At 39.2% G+C, this 19,395-nt stretch overlaps 1 long non-coding RNA gene across 2 annotated transcripts in view; it reads left to right on the top strand.

The window, feature by feature from the left end:
- LOC105376775 (uncharacterized) overlaps positions 1-17,928 on the top strand; it is a 53,183-nt gene extending 35,255 nt beyond the window's left edge. Inside the window, exons 2-3 of one of the 2 annotated variants that reach the window (XR_933752.3) lie at positions 11,827-11,897; positions 17,749-17,928. This is a non-coding gene — a long non-coding RNA (uncharacterized LOC105376775). Of the gene's footprint in view, positions 1-11,826; positions 11,898-12,916; positions 13,304-17,748 lie in introns of those variants that run through there. The other variant, XR_933753.3, reaches the window with a different exon arrangement.
- The last annotated feature ends 1,467 nt before the right edge of the window (positions 17,929-19,395 follow it).

Raw genomic sequence — 19,395 nt, 5'->3', positions numbered from 1 at the left:
TCAAGTGATTCAACAGAGGCACCTTGCCAACCATGAGAGCAAGCTGGGGAATAGTTTAAGAAACAGAAAAATTCTTGTCTGTGAAGATGTCCAGTTCTTTTGAGTGTTGGTGTGGATATTTATGTCACTAGGGAAAATGATGGCACAATCAGAACGTCTGATATGAAAGTGGTTGGCGGGCAGATCAGACAGCAGTTTGTGAGGGTTCACTTTCAAAACCAATACTGTTGGCCGGGCGCGGGGGCTCATTCCTGTAATCCCAGCACTTTGGGAGGCCGAGGTGGGCGGATCACAAGGTCAGGAGATCGAGACCATCCTGGCTAACACGGTGAAACTCCGTCTCTACTAAAAATACAAAAAAAAAAAAAAAAAAATTAGCTGGGTGTGGTGGCAGGTGCCTGTAGTCCCAGCTACTCGGGAGGATGAGGCAGGAGAATGGCGTGAACCCAGGAGGCGGAGCTTGCAGTGAGCCGAGATTGAGTGCCACTGCACTCCAGCCTGGGTGACATCTCAAAACAACAACAACAACAACAACAACAACAACAACATCAACAACAACATCAATACTGTTTATATAACAGGTTGCACACCCAGGCCAAAAGAAACCCTATGAAGATAATTTTCTAAGAGATGTGGATATGCATTTTATTTGCTTAGCTGAAGCTGAGGACTCAGACAGATCCATATGGAGCAAGTGGGTTAACACTTCCCAAAATCCTCAACCTAGTGAGGAGGGACCCAGACTTGAGTATTCTCTTCTGTAACATGGGAGCTATAATCCTACCCTTCACAGATGTGTATGGTGGAGGCAATGCAAAATGAGATAATCACTACCTGCCAGATGGTAGAATTTTATCTGTTTATTCTGGGCTCCAAGACAAAGTGATAAAATCCACTGAGTAGCAATATGTATTTAGAACAATCTTCCAGGGGAGGCTTTACCTTGAGAATGTATGATGACAGCTAATAGGTATGGAGTTTCTTCTGTGGGGAGAAAATACTCTAAAATTAGAGTGTGGAAATAGTGGTATATCCTGCAAATCTACTAAAAACATCAAATTATACATTTAAATAGGCAAATTGTATGCTTTGTGAATTGCACATCAATAAAGCTATTTAAAAAAGAGTGTATAGAAACAGTATAAAACTAACAGAGAAATAAAAAGCAAAACAGAAACAAACAAACAAAAGTCCCCAGGTCTTAGTGTGGAGATATACCAGACTGAATTGTTCTCTTTTCTTCTGGAGCTCAAAGTCTTGTGGGCAGCTACACATTTGCTAACTCGTCCAATAAACAGAGAGTTTTGCATAGAGAATGAATAGGAGTAGGGCAGTTTGACAGATACTGATAATCACTCCACAAAATACATGCTCATTTTTCCTTTAGCAGTAATCTTCCCTGAGGTTAGCAACTATACTTAGAGGTGTGCTTGCAGCCAGGTTTGGCCCTGGGACTCAGTTCTGGCCAATGGCATGTGAGCGGAGAAAATGGGTATATTTTTTAAGCCATGTCCTTTAGAGGAAGCGCTTTCCTTTTCTCCCCTTGCCATGCACAGGGAAGCCAGCTTCAACCTTGTGAATGGGGTTAACACCATATGGATAGGTTCTGTAGAAGGAATATTTCTGTCCTCCCTAAATGCATATATTGGAACCTAATCACCAATGTGATGGTGTTTGAATATGGGGCCTTTAGAAAGTGATTAGGTCATGAAGGTCAAACCCTCGTGGATGGGACTAGTCAGGACACAGCCAAAAGACAGTCGCCTATCAACCAGGAAGCAGGTCCTCATCAGATGCAGAATTTGCTAGTACACTGGTCTCAGACTTGCAGCCCCCAAAACTGACAGCAATAACCTGTTATAAGCTGCCTCATCTATGGTACTTTGGTATAGCTGCCCAAACAAAGACAATGGGAGTGAATCAAAATAGAAGAAACAGAAGGAGCTTCAGCAAGGCTTAGTTACTGCTTTAGACTGCCTGGCTGCTTATGGACCATTTCATGAGGAAGAAATATATTTCTATTCTGAGTGAGCCTCTGAATTTTGGGTACCTTTGTTATACCTGTTTAGTCAAGAAGCAAGAAGTTGCATTAAAGAAATGAGTTAGGAGAGGTGTCACGAAGGAGAGATTTAAGGAAACCTACAGGATGAAGATGTTACCATAGGGAGTGACAGAAGAGTGATTCCAGGCAGGAGGGTGACATTTGCAAATGCCCTGTGATGGGAAAGAGCTTATAACCTAGGGAACTTTTAGAAGGCCAATATAGCTAACATGTAGCTAACCAATGGGTTGGTATCGGTTGAGTTAAGAAAGGTAGGCTTCTTATTACCCTTCAAATAGGATCCAATTTCAGTTTTATAAAGATCACTCTGGCTGGTGCCTAGATAACTTTGAGGGTCGGGGCGATGATGAAGGGGACGTGTGGAAAGAGCAAGACAAATGACGAGACTGTTGAAACAGGGTAAGAGATGGTGCCAGCCAGGACAAGGGTGGCTTTGAAGGTGGAGTGGAGTGGGCAGATTTGAGTAGGTTTGGGGAGTAAACCTGTTGATGAACTGGATGTGGGGAGAAAGTAAGGAAAGTAAAGAAATCAGAATGACTTTTGAGTTTCCAGCCTAGGCAAATGAGCAAAGGGTGGAGCTAAGAACTGAGGTGAAAGAGAGAGAGAGACGGTTTGCACGTGTCCCCTCAAAAATTCAGGTGCTGGCCGGCAGCGGTGGCTCACACCTGTAATCCCAGCACTTTGGGAGGCCGAGATGGGCGGATCACCTGAGGTCAGGAGTTGGAGAACAGCCTGGCCAACATAGTAAAACTCTGTCTTTACTAAAAATACAAAAATTAACCAGGTGTGTTGGGCACATGCATGTAATCTCAGCTACTTGGGAGGCTGAGGCACAAGAATCGCTTGAATCTGGGAGGTGGAGGTTGCAGTGAGCTGAGATCGTGCCATTGCACTCCTTCCTGGGTGACAGAGCAGGACTCCATCTCAAAAGAAAAAAAAAATTCAAGTGCTGAATCTTGGAGGCTAATGTAATGGTGTTAAAAGGTGGGGCCTTGGCTGGGCGAGGTGGCTCACGCCTGTAATCCCAGCACTTTGGGAGTCCGAGGCGGGCGGATCACGAGGTCAGGAGATCGAGACCATCCTGGCTAACACGGTGAAACCCTGTCTCTACTAAAAATACAAAAAATTAGCCAGGCGTGGTGGTGGGCACCTATAGTCCCAGCTACTGGGGAGGCTGAGGCAGGAGAATGGTGTGAACCTGGGAGGCGGAGCTTGCCGTGAGCTGAGATTGTGTCGCTGCACTCCAGCCTGGTCGACATAGCCAGACTCCATCTCAAAAAAAAAAAAAAAAAAAAAAAGGTGGAGCCTTTAAGAGGTTATTAGGCCATGAGGACTCCTCCCTTGAGAATGGGATTAAGGACCTTAGGACCTTGTAAAAGAGGCTTCATTCACACAGTGTTCAGCTGTCTTGCCCCTCCACCTTCACCATGTGAGGACATGGCCTTCCTTTCCTCCAGAGGATACATCATAAAAGTGCCATCTTGGAAGTGGAGAGCAGCCCTCACCAGACGCCAAACTGGCAGGTGCCTTATCTTGGACTTCCCAGCCTGCAAAACTGTGAGAAATAAATTTCTGTCCTTTCTAAATTGCTATGTAATGGTATGTTGTTGTAACAGCACAAATAGACCAGTAGTTTCTGGTGAGGGGAAAAATTAGAAATTATGTTTTTATTTGCTGAGTATGACTTACTAGCTCTCATCTTGGAAGGTAAGTTTAATTTCCAATTGACTGACATGTAATGTGATCTATAAAAGCCTCACTGGTCACAATCTCTGCTGAGACTTTGCTTTTTTCCAGTTTACCCAGCTAAATCATTTAACTGTTATGCCTAGAAAAGATTTTTATTTCTTATGCACTTTTTAAACTCATTATTTCTACTGGCTTTTTTTTTTTTTTTGTAGACTCCATTGGCATTTTTACATAGACAATTATGTTATCTGCAAATTAAAATACTGTACTTCTCCTTTTCTAAACTAAATGCATTTTATTTCTGTTTTGTTTAGTTTCGTTTTGCCTCTGATTTCACTGGTCAGGACCTCCAGTAAAATGCTAATAGAAATGGTGGAAAGCAGAATCTTGTTCTGTCTCTAATCCTAAGAGAAAGCTATCTGGTCTTTCACCATTAAATCTGGTGTTAACTGTAAGTTTTTTCATACATGCACTTTATCAAGTTGAAAAAGTCATCTTTTATTTCTAGTTATCTTCTGTTTCTAATTTTTGAGAGTTTTTATTTTCAGAAAATGGATATTTTATTTTTAAAAATGCTTTTCCTGTATCCATTGAGATGATCATATGGTTTTCCTCTTTTAGTTTTAGTATGGTGAATTATACTAATGGGTTTTCATCCTTGGATTGCATTTTTTGGATAAGCCCCACTTGATATATTATCCTTTACATATATCATTAGATACAGTAGTTCGAAGTAAGATGCTAACAAATTAAACCCATATATATGAAGAATGTTGGTCTGTAATTTTATTTTCTTGTACTATCCTTGTCTGTTTTTTGATATAAAGGTTAACACTGGCCTCAGCTGGGAAGTATTTCCTCTTCTTCAATTTACTGAAACAATTTGTGTAGGATTATTATTCCTTATTCCTTAGATGTTTGATAGAATTCACCAGAGAAATTATGAATTATGGGGATGGAGCCTTATTTTTTTGAAAAAATTTAAGAATTTGGTTTCTTTAAGAGATACAGGGCTATTCAGGTTGTCTATATCTTCTTCAGTGAGATTTGATAGGTTGTATCTTTTAAACCTGTCAATTTTATTAAAAGTTGTCAAATTTATAGTTCTAAAGTAGTTCATATTTTCCTCTTATTATGCTCTTAAGATCTGTGGATTCTGTACTAACATTACCCCTCTCATACCTGATATTATGGGGTGTGTGTGTGTGTGTGTGTGTGTGTGTGTGTGTAAGATTGTGTTTCTTAGGGCCAGTCTAACTTGATCTCAAAAAACCAGCTTTTGATTTCATTTATTTTCTCCATTTTTTATTCTATTTCATTATTTCTTACTTTGATCTTCATTATGTCCTTTATGCTAGTTACCTTTCTTTTTTTTTAACTGCACTTCTTTTTTCTAGTTTCTTATGGTGGAAGCTGAGTAATTGAGTTGAGACTTTTTTAAATTTTATCATACAGGTACTTAGTGCTACAAAATTTTTCCTAAGTGCTGCCTTAGCAGCATGCCACAGAATTTTAAATGTTGATGTTCATATTCATTAAGTTCAAAATACTTTCTAATTTCTGTTGCACTTTCCTTGTTGACTAATGGGTTATTTAAAAGTATGTTATTTAGTTTTCAAATATTTGAGATTTTTCCAGATATCTTCCTGTCATTGATTATAATTTATTGTGATCAAATAATATACTTAATTTCTAATTTAATTCCATTGTGAGCAAGGAATATACTTTGTTTTTATTTATTTTGATTCAACTGCAGGAAAGGAATACACTTTGTAGGACCTGAGTATTTTAAACATGTTGAGAATTGTTTTATCACCCACAATATAGCCTATATTGGTAACGTTCTGTGTATTCTTGAAAGGAATGTGTGTTCTGAGTTTAGCCGTGGAGAGCCTATACATATCAATCAGAACAAATCTGTTAATAGTGTTGTCAAATCTTTCACAGTCTGATATTCTTTTTGTTTTATAAATTATTGAAAGTGATATTGAAATATCCCACAATAATTTTTGATTTGTCCATTTTCCCTTACAGTTGTATCAGTTTTTGTTTCATGTATTCTGATACTTTGTTATTTGGTGCACAAACATTTAGAATTGTGTCCTCTTGATGGATTTATCTTTTTATTATGTAAAACCTTTTCTCCCCCTAGTAATTTTCCATGTCCTACATCTACTTTGATATTAACATAGCCATTCCAGCTTTCTTTTGACTAGTATTAGCATGATTTATATTTTACCTGTCTACATTTAATATGTTTTCCTGCAGGCAGCATGTAGTTAATCTTCTGTTTTGATTCAGTCTGAAAATTTCTGCCTGTTAATTGAAACATTTAGACAATTTACACTTATATGATTATTGATATTGTTGGGTTTAAAGTTTTTCATCTTGTCATTTTTCTTTTTGATCTATTCTTTGTTTCTTTTAGCCTCTTTTTTTTTTTTTTTTTTTTTTTTTGAGACAGAGTCTTGCTCAGTTCCCCAGGCTGGAGTGCAGTGGTGCAATCTCGGCTCATTGCAACCTCTGCCTCTCAGGCTCAAGTGATTCTCCCACCTCAGCCTCCCAAGTAGCTGGGACTACAGGCAGTCACCACCACGCCCAGCTAATTTTTGTATTTTAGTAAAGATGGAGTTTCACCATGTTGGCCAAGCTGGTCTCGGACTCCTGACCTCAAGTGATTTGCCCGCCTCAGTCTCCCAAAGTGGTGGGATTACAGGCGTGAGCCACTGTGCCCGGACAGTTTAAATAATTTAAAAATATGATACATGTGCTCATTAAGCTATGATTTCTGGTGCTCTCCATTTCATCTGATATCATTTTCTTTCTTCCTGAAGGATTTACTTTAACATTTATTGATTTTGTGTGTGCTGGTGATTAATATCTTCAGCTTTTGTATTTCTGAAGATGTATTTATTTAACTTTGACTTTTTGAAAGATAGTTTACTGAGTATGTTTTAGATTGCTAGCTTTTAATTTTTATTTCAGTTTTTAAAAGTTGTTGTTCCACTTTTTTAAATTGCATTGTTTCTGATAAGAAATCTTCCTTCACCCTTATTTTAGTTTTCCTGGACATAACTTGTCTTTTACCCCTCTGGCTGCTTTTAAAATTTTCTCTTTATCACTGATTTTAAGCAGATGTTTTTTGTGAGTTTGATACTTTTGAGCCAATTTTGATTGTGAGGTAGCTTTCTATAGTTTTCCTTGTGTCTCTTGTAGCAGGGAGACATAGGGTTTCTTGGGTCTGTAAGTATACAACAACTTTCATTAAATTTTTCAAAACAATTGACCACAATTTCTTCAAATACTGTTTCTGCCTTTACCCATCCTCTTCTTCACAGAATCCAGTTACTGCCTCGAGTTGTCCTTTAGTTCACTTAGGCTTTTTTTCTCTCTCTCTGAGTTTTATTTTGATTAGTTTTTATTGCCATAGTTCCAAGTTTACACATCTTTTCTTCTAGGATATCTAATCTGGAAATAATCTCCTCCAATGTATTTTTCATTTTAGACATTATAGATTTAATTTCTAGATGTAGAATGTGAATCTTTTTTTAAAAAATATCTTTTGTCTTTTTGAGTCAAAGTATCTTGTCAAAACTTATGAATATTTGGAGTACAGTTATAACTACCATTTTGATGTCACTGTCTGCTAATTCTAATATCCATAACTGTTTTGGGTCACTTTCAATGTATTAATTATTCTCAATTTGGGTTGTGTTTTCTGGTTTCATTACATGCCTGGTCATGTGTGTATGCTAGTCATTGTGAGTTCACTTTATTGTATAATAGATATTTTTGTATTCCTGTAACTATTCTTGAGATTTTTCTGTGATGTGATGGAGTTGCTTGGAAACAATTTGATCATTTTTTGGTCTTCGTATTTATTATTTATTTCCTAGGCAGGTCTGGAGCAGTGTTTAGTCTAGGGTTTATTATTCCCTACTGTGGAGGCAAGAGCTTCCTGAGGGCTCTACCCAATTCCCTAAGAAGTATGGGTTATAGCTGGGGTAAAAGACATTATTTCTGGTCCTGTGTTGAGTACCAGACAATCTTCCCTTTAATATTTTGGATGATTCTTTCCTTTATTTGGAATCGTTTCTTAAGATGCCTGGGCTGATTAGTACTCTGTTGAATATTCAAGCAGGACCATCTCATGATCTTTGGAGTTTTCTCTAAGTGCAGCTCTTTCCTTTCCAAGATTCTGCCCAGCATACTCTGGCCACCTTGGTTTCCCTGGTTACTCAGCTCAACTCTTCAACTCAGAGTCTTCCAGGCTTTATATGAGATCCCCTTCCCTACACCACAGACTGATGAAGCCCTTTCAAAGATGTAAGCAGGGGCCATGGCAGTCCTATCACCATCATCTTTTCCTCATCTTTCAGGGATCACTCTTTTGTAGTTTGATGCACAGAGTTCTGAAAACCATTTTTCTATGTATTTTTTCTCTTTTTGTTTGTTGGTTTGTTTCAGGTGTTTCAAGGGTTAACCAGGGTAAACCTTGTCAATTTATGTTATCTGGAAGCAGAAGGTACCCTTCCCAATGTTTCATTTAATCTTATCAAAAGTTAACCTTATGCCATTTTACAGGAGAGGAAGGTGAGGCTCACATATGCAACATGACTTTTAAGCTCAAATAGCTTATAAGAGTTACATCCCAGAATTCATCTTAAGTTTGTCTCTTGGAAATAGCTGACTATATGATTTCCTCTTCTCTGAATTTCCTTCACTTAATCTACTCTGGAGGACAGGGAATGGAAAGGGATTAGGGTTGAAAATAAGACCGCAAACTACTCTCTGGAGGCCAATTCCCTGTTCCTTTGGGATGTGAAAATTGAATAAGGGTGGGTATTTGAGCCTATGGTCCAGATACAGGAATCACACCAGTAAGAGTCATTGTTTTCTTTCCTCACAACAATCTTAGTATGTCAAATTGAAAGCATTTTTGAAGATCTTCTGCTTCAGTGGGTCTCAAAGTCAAAAGCAAAACAAATAGAAAACCAAGTCTTCACTGGGGAGGATATCAAAGTCTTGGGTTATAAAGCACAATAGAATTGAGAAAATGCAGAAGAGTGTGAAAAGTAATATGTTCCATTTTTTTTCTTGAGATTCCAGCATGTTCCTTTACCAAGAACAACTTATATCTTGATGTAAACCCTTCAACATAGGGAAATTCATTCTCTCAGAGGGTACAACTATTCTCATTTTTTTGAACACCCCTCTTTCTTCTGTGCATATATTCCATTCAATGTTGGTCTACTGAGAGATGGTTGGGTATATAATGCAGACCCAGACAATTATAACCACATTTCTCCAATTGTGTCAATTAGCCCAGCTTTTACTTCCAAGTCCCAAGCTGGGTCATTCTAATTCTTTTCCAGGACTTTGCTCATGTAGAGCTGAAGAAAAGGAGGTTTTATCTTTTGGGAAACAGAATTGGAAGACATGATCAGGGATATCTTGAAACATGTAAAAGAAACTTGTGTGCAATAGATAAGAATAAGACAAGACCCAGTAGAAACAAAGCCATGAATTAGAGAAGGCTAAGGAGGAGGATAATGCATCAGAAAACAAGACATCAACAGAGTTTAGTCATTTACAATCTCTGTATCCAATAGTACCTGAAGCTGGTATCTGAGGTCAACAGAGTTTAGTCATTTACAATCTCTGTATCCAATAGTACCTGAAGCTGGTACCTGAGGTCAACAGAGTTTAGTCATTTACGATCTCTGTATCCAATAGTACCTGAAGCTGGTACCTGGACTTCCCAACTGCATATTCTAATAAATTGCATTCTATGTCTAATGGTGTGAGTAGGGTTCATGACACATAGAACCAAAAGAGTCCCGATAAATACAGAAAGGAAGTAATTTACCTGATATTAAGACCTTCAGTTGGTAGGTGAGCTGGAATTAGAATTCTACTCATTCTCTTTTAAATACAGCAGGAAGCAAGGGAGAGAATTTAGGACCCTGTTTTTTCACCTTGGAGGGAGCAGTCTCCACCATGCACAAAGGCTGCTAGCAATTTTTTATTATTGTTGGCACATGCATATCAAAACCATAAAAACTTAGTGCCAGGCACATTCTAAAGGTATTACATGATCCTTCCACAACCTGTGAGGAGGATCTTGTTATAATCTCCCTTTAGAAGATAAGGGAATGGAGGCTTGAAGAGGTGAAGTCACATGCCTGAATCCTCAGAACTGGTTAGTGTTGGAGCCAGGATTCTCAAATGAGGGCAGTCTGACCTCCCAGCAATGCTCTTGACCACTTTGCTGTTCTTGTCCTGTGCTTAAATGTCAAGTCCCTTCTGCTTGAGCACCAGATGTGCTCAGGAAGTGATTTTCAACTAGTTGCTGATAGCACAGTTTGGTTTTTCATTCTATACAGGCACTTTCATTCAGAGTTATCACTGAAGAATAAAAGAGCAGGTGGAAGCCACATTTCAGGACAGAGCAAGAGAGAAAGAGGAACACAATTTCCCCCATCCTTTTGTAAATCTGTCTTCCCAGTTTTCATCCGTATGATTTGTTTGTTACATTTGGGATTGTCTATCTAGACTGCTGAGGGTAAATTCTGGTGCTTAAGGGAATACCCTTAACATAAGTTTCAAAAAGATTCACTGTCCCAGCTCAGGTATCATTATAGCAGAATTCTCTTGATAAATCTGTGAATCTGTTTTGCTTGTATATGAAAACAAACTAATAGGCTTTTCCTTTCTTCATATCAAAGCACTTGATTTTATAGAATTCCCAGATGTCCTGATTACAAAATGAAAAAAAGAAAAGCCCTGTGAGGAAAAATTTGGGCTAATGCATTCTTTGTAGGTTTTGGTCTTTGAATGGATCCACCATTCATGACTCAGTAGTATTATGCATGACACTGTAAATGGACAGATGACTTATTGCGTACAGGAGTCTAGGAAATAATTTTCCTATGCCAATTTTTTAGTAAAAAGAAATTTTTGTTAAAAAATAAGTAGACCTCTAACTGTAAAGGAGACCAAATCTAATAAACAAAATGACATAGACATCTCTGGCATTTGTTAAATGGCTTTTGGCTTTTGTCAGCAGTAGGGTTTAGCAAAGTTCTGCTGGGATGGCTGAAGAGAGCTCAGTAGGGGCTGCATGTTTAGACAGGGTGGGGCTGAGAAGCAGTCACAGAAGGCCCACCCTGGGACTGGGCTGTGGGAACAATAAACACAGGGTAGTCTCCTATGTCATAGGAAGGAAGAGACCATCACTGGACTCTTTGGAAGAACGGAACTGCAGGGTCCCCAGGGGCTTTGGGGCTGGTGTCATCTCATCCCTGAGGTCATCATCACACATGTCTTTCTCACACACCAGATGGTCTTGGCCTCGAAGTTGGCAAGCTGAGACCCCTCTTGTCCCAGTTGGCCAATACCTACAGGCTAGATTTGGCAGGATAAAACCACATTTGGAACAGGAGAAGAGAGGAATATTGCCCCAACCTTCTTAGACAGCTTCACTCGGCAGATGGGGAACAGGGAGCCATGGGTCCTTGTATTGGGTCTGCCAGTTCCTTGTCCTGTGAATTTGGGCAAATTCCATTACCTCTTTGAGCCCCAACAGTCTCATCTAAAAAGTGAGCAGCTACAGCTTGAAGGAATCTTAGAGATTATCTAATTAAAGCAGGCTGTAACTGTAAACATGAAGGAAATAGCTAAGGGGCCATTATTCTATTTTCTGTAGAATTTTCAAGAAATTCAGAATTTCCCATGTTTGTTCTTTACCCTCAGGCTGGAAGTAAAGGGGCAAAATGTAGGTTATAGATATAGACAGAACCCCTGATGGATTGGAATCTTCCAGGTGATATCCAAAAGACCATGTGTATTAATATTTCCATAATATTTCTCCTTAAGCCAACTCACTTTTTTCCCAAATAGAAATACATAAAAAGGAATCTTTATATCATTTGCCACAATAAAAATTTTAAAACATTCTATTATTTTCACTGTTTTTTTTTTCATTACCTTCCAATTGGATACTGTCGCCTGCCAAAGGCTCTAGCCTGAAGCCTGTTCTCTCGTTAATGCTTGCTAATCTCCCTTTTTAACAGAGAAGAATTAAAGACACGCTGGGGCTGAGCCAAGAGAGAACTTCCCCTTGATGTAATCAGCAAATAAGAAAGTGAGTCCCTTTTCAATTACATTCAGTCCCTGAGATTTCATTGTTATTTTGTTCATGCACTTATGAAAATCACCTCCAGTACTGCCAGTGGAAACTGGTTCATATTTTTTGCCTTAGAGAATGGGAAATGGAGACTCTCTGATGCCTAGCCAGAGGTCTAGTTCAACAGTTTTATCCTTGATAGGCTGAAATCCATCCTGGCCATTTGAGAAATTTCCTTGCAAGAGGCAGAACCCTGTACTTTTATCACTGCTTGTTTTGGTGCAAGCTTTATACATGCCCTACATAAACATAAATGATTCTCTAATAATTCTGGTACTACCTAATTCTTTCTGGAAAGTGACAGAACAGAAGCCTCAGGAACTAGTACCAAGCATTGCACAAACCATTCCTCTACCATTTGGAACGTCCAAGCTTCTTGTAAACTGGTGAGGTTTATGTTCACACATAGATAGCTACAGAAATCAGGCACTTTCTAACCATAAAAAACATCCCTGAGCAATTCCACGTAAATGTAGAACCAGACAAAACAAAAACCACTAGGGACCTAGGGACAGAAATAAAATTAAAAGGCAGATGGGCCTTGTAGAAAATCTCTGTTGTTCTTTTTTACAAGGACATTTTAAAATCGAGTGTGCCAATGGGCTCTTGAGAAGGAGGATACTGTTAAATGTGTGGATATGACAGGAAATGCTCTTGATAATTGATAAACTGAATATATACAGTAACTCAGGGTCCTGGGTCCTCAGAAAGGGATCACATTTCTTTCTTCTGTGGCTGTTCTCAGATCTGAGGCATCCAGCAGATCACAGAGCTTAGGCTCTATGGTGGGGCCCGGGGTGGGGTCCTGGTTTATAGAGGCCCTTTAGCCCTCATTATCACACGCCTTGCTTCATTTACTTTATCAGAAAGAAAATGGTGGTGGTGGTGGTGGTGAGAATGGCTTAATTAACCACCCGAAATCGTGAGAGACTTTACTCATCACCTCCTTTAACCCTTACTATGATCAAATTATTCAGGTCAAATGATTCTACCTTTACAACAAAGACTCTGAGGCTCAAAGAGATTAAGATGCCTACAGTTGCAGAGAAAGAGCCCCCTGGGATCTGAAGAGGAAGAGGCTCTATAGTCAGAGCCAGGCTTACTCCGTCAGACGTTCTGAAATCTTCAGTCCCTGCAGCCTTCAGAATGATTCTGCCTCCCCCATCCCTCTAAACGCCCTTCATCCTGTGCAACATGAAATATCCAACTGGAGCATTTCAGGATGGAAATGATATGTCTCAAAGACATGTATATCTTACATAGACATACAAACACACACAGCCATACTCTCTAAGACTACATATGTTTGGAGGGAAAGAGTTTAATAGGGTTTCTTAATGGACCTTGAATAAATTGTATGGGGCATTTTTCTCTTCACAGTAACTCAAAGAAATACATGCTGCTTTGAAGATTTTGAGCTTAAAAAAGCTACTTGGCTGGGAACGTCTATTAAAGATGGAAAAAAGAATGCCCACTCTAATTTGACAATTTAGCTAGGGAGTTTGATGTTCTACATGAAGTTAAATTTCTGTAATTTGTCATGATGCCCTAGAAGAATTAGGATCTTCTGGCTACATTTACAACTTGCATTCCTTAACACATTTATTTGTTTGTTTGTTGAGATGAAGTCTCACTCTGTCACCCAGGCTGGAGTGCAGTGGCACGATCTTGGCTCACTGCAGCCTCTGCCTCCCAGGCTCAAGTAATCCTCCCACATCACCCTCCCAAGTAGCTGGGACCACAGGTGTGTGACACCACACCTGGCTACTTTTTTGTATTTTTAGCAGAGAGGAGGTCTCACCACGTTGCCTAGGCTGGTCTCAAACTCATGAACTCAAGTGATCCATCTGCCTCAGCCTCCTGAAGTGCTGGGATTACAGGAGTGAGCCATCATGCCGGGCTTTAATATGTTTTTATTGGGAATCTACAGTGTGCCACATACTAGGGACAGTGTGCCACATGTGAGGGACACCAATTCGAAGGAGCGTTATCGAAAAAGCCTAAGCTGTGTTGGGCACAAGCCTTTGACAGGGAGCTTAACCTAGCCCATGCTTGAGAGAAGGCTTCCCAGAAGACATAATTTTAAAGCTCGCTTCCAGGGAAGAACATAGACAGCATCAAAAGTTCCCAACCTGTGCCTGGCGCAGTAGTTCACGCCTGTAATCCTAGCACTTTAGGAGACCGAGGTGGGCAGATCACTTGAGATCAGGAGTTCGAGACCAGCCTGGCCAACATGGTGAAAACCCATCTCTGCCAAAAACTACAAAAAATTAGCCCTGTGTGGTGGTACGTGCCTGTAGTCCCAGCTACTTGGGAGTCTGAGGTGGGAGAATCGCTTAACTCGGGATGCAGAGGTTGCAGTGAGTCGAGATCATGCCATTGCACTCCAGCCAGGGCAACAGAGTGAGACCCTGTCTCAAAAAAAAAAAAAAAAAAAAAGTTCTCAGCCTGAAGGCATTTTCATTTTCACAACAGGTTTCTTCAGGGATATACATGATTTTCCTTACTAGGGAGAAAACATTTGGAGCAATGAATTTTCTATACTTTACTCTCCTTGTATCTCCTGGTCCTGGCAGATACTAAATGATAAATGCTCTGCTGGATTTATATAATGATTGAGTTTCTTAAATTTTTTTAAAAGTCATGTATTCATTCATTCAACACAAATGTTATACAAAAATCATATTGATATACCTCCAAAGCATATTAGGAATACAATCCAAGTTGGGAAAAAAAGGCGCTTAAATATAACATCATGTTATATATAACATAAAATTTGCCATTTTAGCCATCTTTAAGTGTAAAATTCAGTGGTATTAATTACATTCAGAATATTTTACCATCATCACCACTATCGATTCCCAAGCCTTTTTATTACCCCAAACGGAAACTCTGTAACCATCAAGCAATAACTCTATTCCCCTGCCCCCAGCCCCTCTAAATATACTTTCTGTCTCTATGAAGTTGCCTATTGTAGAAGTTTCATATTAGTGGGATCTTAAATATTGTACTATGAGTTGGCTTATTTCATTTAGCATGATTTTTTTTTCTTTGAGATGGAGGCTCGCTCTGTTGCCCAGGCTGGAGTGCAGTGGTGTGGACTCGGCTCACCACAGCCTCCACCTCCTGGGTTCAAGCGATTCTCCTGTCTCAGCCTCCCGGGTAGCTGTGAATACTGCGTGCACCACCACGCCTGGCTAATTTTTGTATTTTTAGTAGAGATGGGGTTTCACTATGTTGGCCAGGCTGCTCTCAAACTCCTGACCTCGTGGTATGCTCTCCTCAGTCTCCCAAAGTGCTGGGATTACAGGCGTGAGCCAGCGTGCCTGGCCTAGCATGATATTTTCAAAGTTCATTTATGTTGTAGCATGAATCAGAACTTCTTTCCTTCTTATGACTGAATAATATGCCATTCTGCGGATATACTACATTTTGTTTATCCATTCATCTGTTGATAGACAGGTTGTTTTCACCTTTGGCTACCATGAATAAAGTTACAATGAAAGTTGGTGTAGAAGCATATTTTAGTGCCTATTTCCAACTTTCTTGGGTATATACCTAGAAGTGGAATTGCTAGGTCATGTGGTAGTTCTGTTTATCTTTTTCAGGAGCATGCAGACTATTTTCCACATTAGCTATACCATCTTACATTCCTACCAGCAACATACAAAGGTTCTGCCTTCTCCATGTCTTTTTTTTGTGCAGCTATCTTAGTGGGTATGAAATGGCATCTTACTATCATTTTGATTTGCATTTTCCTTATGATGGGTGGTGGTGAGCACCTTTCCATGTGCCTGTTGGCCATTTGTATATCTTATTGGGAGAAATGTTTATTCAAATCCTTTGCCCATTTTAAAGAATCGGCTTGGTTGTCCTTTTGTTGTTGAGTTGTAGTTATTTGTACATTTTGGATATTGAACCCTTACAGATATATGATTTGAAATATTGTCTTTGATCCTGTAAGCTGTCTCTTGACTTTATCGATATTGTCCTTTGGTGGACAAATGTTTTTAGTATTGATGAAGTACAATTTATCTATTTTTTGTTGTTGCTGTTGCTTCTGTTTTTGGTGTCATACATAAGAATCCATTGACAAATCCCATTCGTTTAACTTTGCTTTGAACAAACACATATTGACTGTTTATTCTATGCCTGAAAATGTGCCAGGCATTACAGATAAATAGGCCAGGTGCGGTGGCTCATGCCTGTAATCCCAACACTTTAGGAGGCCTAGGCAGTGGATCACTTGAGGTCAGGAGTTTGAGAACAGCCTGGCCAACATGGTGTAACCCCATCTGTACTAAAAATACAAAAGAAAACAATTATCTGGGTGTGGTGGTAGGTGCCTGTAATCCCAGCTACTTGGGCAGCTGAGGCACGAGAATCACTTCAACCAGGGAGGTGGAGGCTGCAGTGAACCGAGATCGTGCCACCGCACTCCCAGCCTGAGGGACAGAGCAAGACTCTGTCTCAAAAAAAAAAAAAAAAAAAAAAAAAAAAAAAAAGTAAGACAGACAGAAAAATCTCCTATCTCTCATGAAGTTTACATTCCTCTTGCTAAAGGAGACAAATAATAACAATAACAATAATATTAATAAATGGGATAACATTAGATAGTGACAAGTTCTATGATGAAAATAAACACAAAATTAAATCATCATAATACAATATCAGAATATAATGGGATGGTGAGCAATAGGGAAATGGGGAAGAGAAGGTACCTAAATTGGTCAGGGAAGCCCTGTCTGAGGTGTTGCTAGATTAACTGACACTTGAATGGTGAGAAGGGGCCAGTTATTTAAGGATTTGGTGGTGAACACTTTTACACTGTTGGTGGGACTGTAAACTAGTTCAACCATTGTGGAAGTCGGTGTGGCGATTCCTCAGGGATCTTGAACTAGAAATACCACTTGACCCAGCAATCCCATTACTGGATATATACCCAAAGGATTATAAATCATGCTGCTATAAAGACACATGCACACGTATGTTTATTGCGGCATTATTCACAATAGCAAAGACTTGGAACCAACCCAAATGTCCAACAATGATAGATTGGATTAAGAAAATGTGGCACATATGTACCATGGAATACTATGCAGCCATAAAAAATGATGAGTTCATGTCCTTTGTAGGGACATGGATGAAGCTGGAAACCATCATTCTCAGCAAACTATCGCAAGGACAAAAAACCAAACACCGCTTGTTCTCACTCATAGGTGGGAATTGAACAATGAGAACACATGGACACAGGAAAGGGATCATCACACACCGGGGCCTGTTGTGGGGTGGGGGGAGGGGGGAGGGATAGCATTAGGAGATATACTTAATGTTAAATGACGAGTTAATGGGTGCAGCACACCAACATGGCCTATGTATACATATGTAACAAACCTGCACATTGTGCACATGTGCCCTAAAACTTAAAGTATAAAAAAAAAAAGAAGATTTGGGAGAATATTCTCATTGCATGAGAAACCACACACTTAAATCCAGCCCACTTGATCACAGTGGCAGAGCCAAGCTTTGTAGCCATGCTTCCCAGCTTTCTTTTGAAACGAATTGTAGTATGCATTTCAAGATTGATCAGCAAAGTTGAATGGCTTAATATTTTAACAGTAGTGGGAGAAAAGGTAAAGGGAGAAAAAAGGAGGTGATTTATATTTCTTTATGTATCAAATTTCTGGGATCCTTGGTGGCCATGAGGGACTAATCAAATGACATATTAACTTGACCAGTATTTTGACAAGCTGTGCTGGAATGTAGGCTCCCAGATTTACTGAAGATCAATAAACAAATTTTCTCACAGGGTAAGGCGGCAGACAACCCTGATCAGCTATCCTAGAAAGGAATGCAACGCATACATTCCATTCTCCAGACCCAGGACTAGCTACAGTGGGATTTCTCGGTGGCAGAGGAAAAACAAGAAGATACAAGCATCTGGTCTTTGGTGGGCTTGCTGAGAAATATTGGAATGACAGATTGTCTTTTGCAGTCCCTAGTGTTGGATGGCAAACCATGCTGGTGGCTAAGTGTACAAGGCACATTCCACTCTTGCAGGACGATGGGAAGCCAAGCCCATTTTCCAGAGATTTTCTGGACCCCAGACCAAACTCTACTCCTTGGGAAAGCACCACCCAAAAGCAAACACACCCCAAACACACTGCATTCTCCCACAGCACAATTCCCAGAGTTGCATTGCTCAGCACAATCTCAGCTTTTAAAAAACAAAGACTAAGAGAAGACCCTTCTCTAGGGAGAAGAGTTTATTTCTGATTCCCCAGGAATTAGCCTTATTTGGCACTATTTTATAACTCGAGAGACAGAAAAAAAAAGTCTTTTTTTGAGTTTTGATAAATCTTAATCACCATAAATTCCACCACCCCTTCCTGCCCCAAACAGGGAGTTTTAAACCCCAAATTCATTTCTCCAATCTCTAAATGCCATAACATTTCATTCCACTTGGGACTTTTCCACATTCTGCCTCTATTTCTGTGGGGCCTTTTTGTTTTATTTTTTTCAAGATTTCCTTTATTATCGCTCAGCAATGACACCTCTCTCAATATAACAGCTATGTCTTATTCATCTTTGCTTTTCCATAGCACCTACCTACTTGGCACCAATGAGTTCTCAACAGTTTTTTTCTATGGCAGACAAATTTGGTGAATTTGGAAAGTCATCTCATATTTTACATGTGCTTTTACAAGCCTTGTAGTGGCCATTGTTGGTTTATGCATAGCTGTAATAATGTTAGCATTACAACCAACTCTCTGATAAAAATACCAGTTAGATATTTTAGAAAAACAAAATGATGTAAGGTTGTCACATCCCAAAATCTAATTGTACTATTTCATGAGGAGATGAATAAAACTAAATAGAATAATTTTCTTTATAATTTATCATAGAGAAAATTGATGTAACAAATTTATATACTCCCTAATATCTAAAAGCCACAAACATAGCACTGGGTGGAACAAATACAAAAAGGAAAGGTCTCCATTAAAACAGAGTGCTTAGAAAATTAACAGTTTAAGCAATATCTATGCATGAGTGGTAGCACTATGAATTATTGTAAATGGCTATGGCAATAGACATTAAGAATAAAAATGCAGGGATCACATGTCTTTAGTGAAAAAGAAAAAAAAGGAATAACATACTCATTCATTTTGATCCAATTCTTTCTCTCAGGTGAATTAATATTAAGAAAATAATTCAAGGCCAGGAATGGTGCCTCACACCCATAAGCCCAGAACTTTGAGAGGCCAACACAGGAGGATCACTTGAGCCCAGGAGTTTGAGACCATCCTGGGCAAGACAGTGAGACCCCGGTGCTATAAATAATTAAATAATAAATAAATAAATAAGTAAATAAATAAAATAGATAAGGCAATTCTTTACTAATATAGATAGGATTTTAAAATATTTATATAAAAATTAAATTAAAAATTATGTACTT

The sequence above is a fragment of the Homo sapiens genome, chromosome 16, assembly GCF_000001405.40.
Source record: "Homo sapiens chromosome 16, GRCh38.p14 Primary Assembly".
In the NCBI taxonomy this organism is placed as follows: Eukaryota; Metazoa; Chordata; class Mammalia; order Primates; family Hominidae; genus Homo; species Homo sapiens.
The sequence above is the reverse complement of the archived record's forward strand: the minus strand, read 5'-3'. Positions and strand labels throughout refer to the sequence as shown.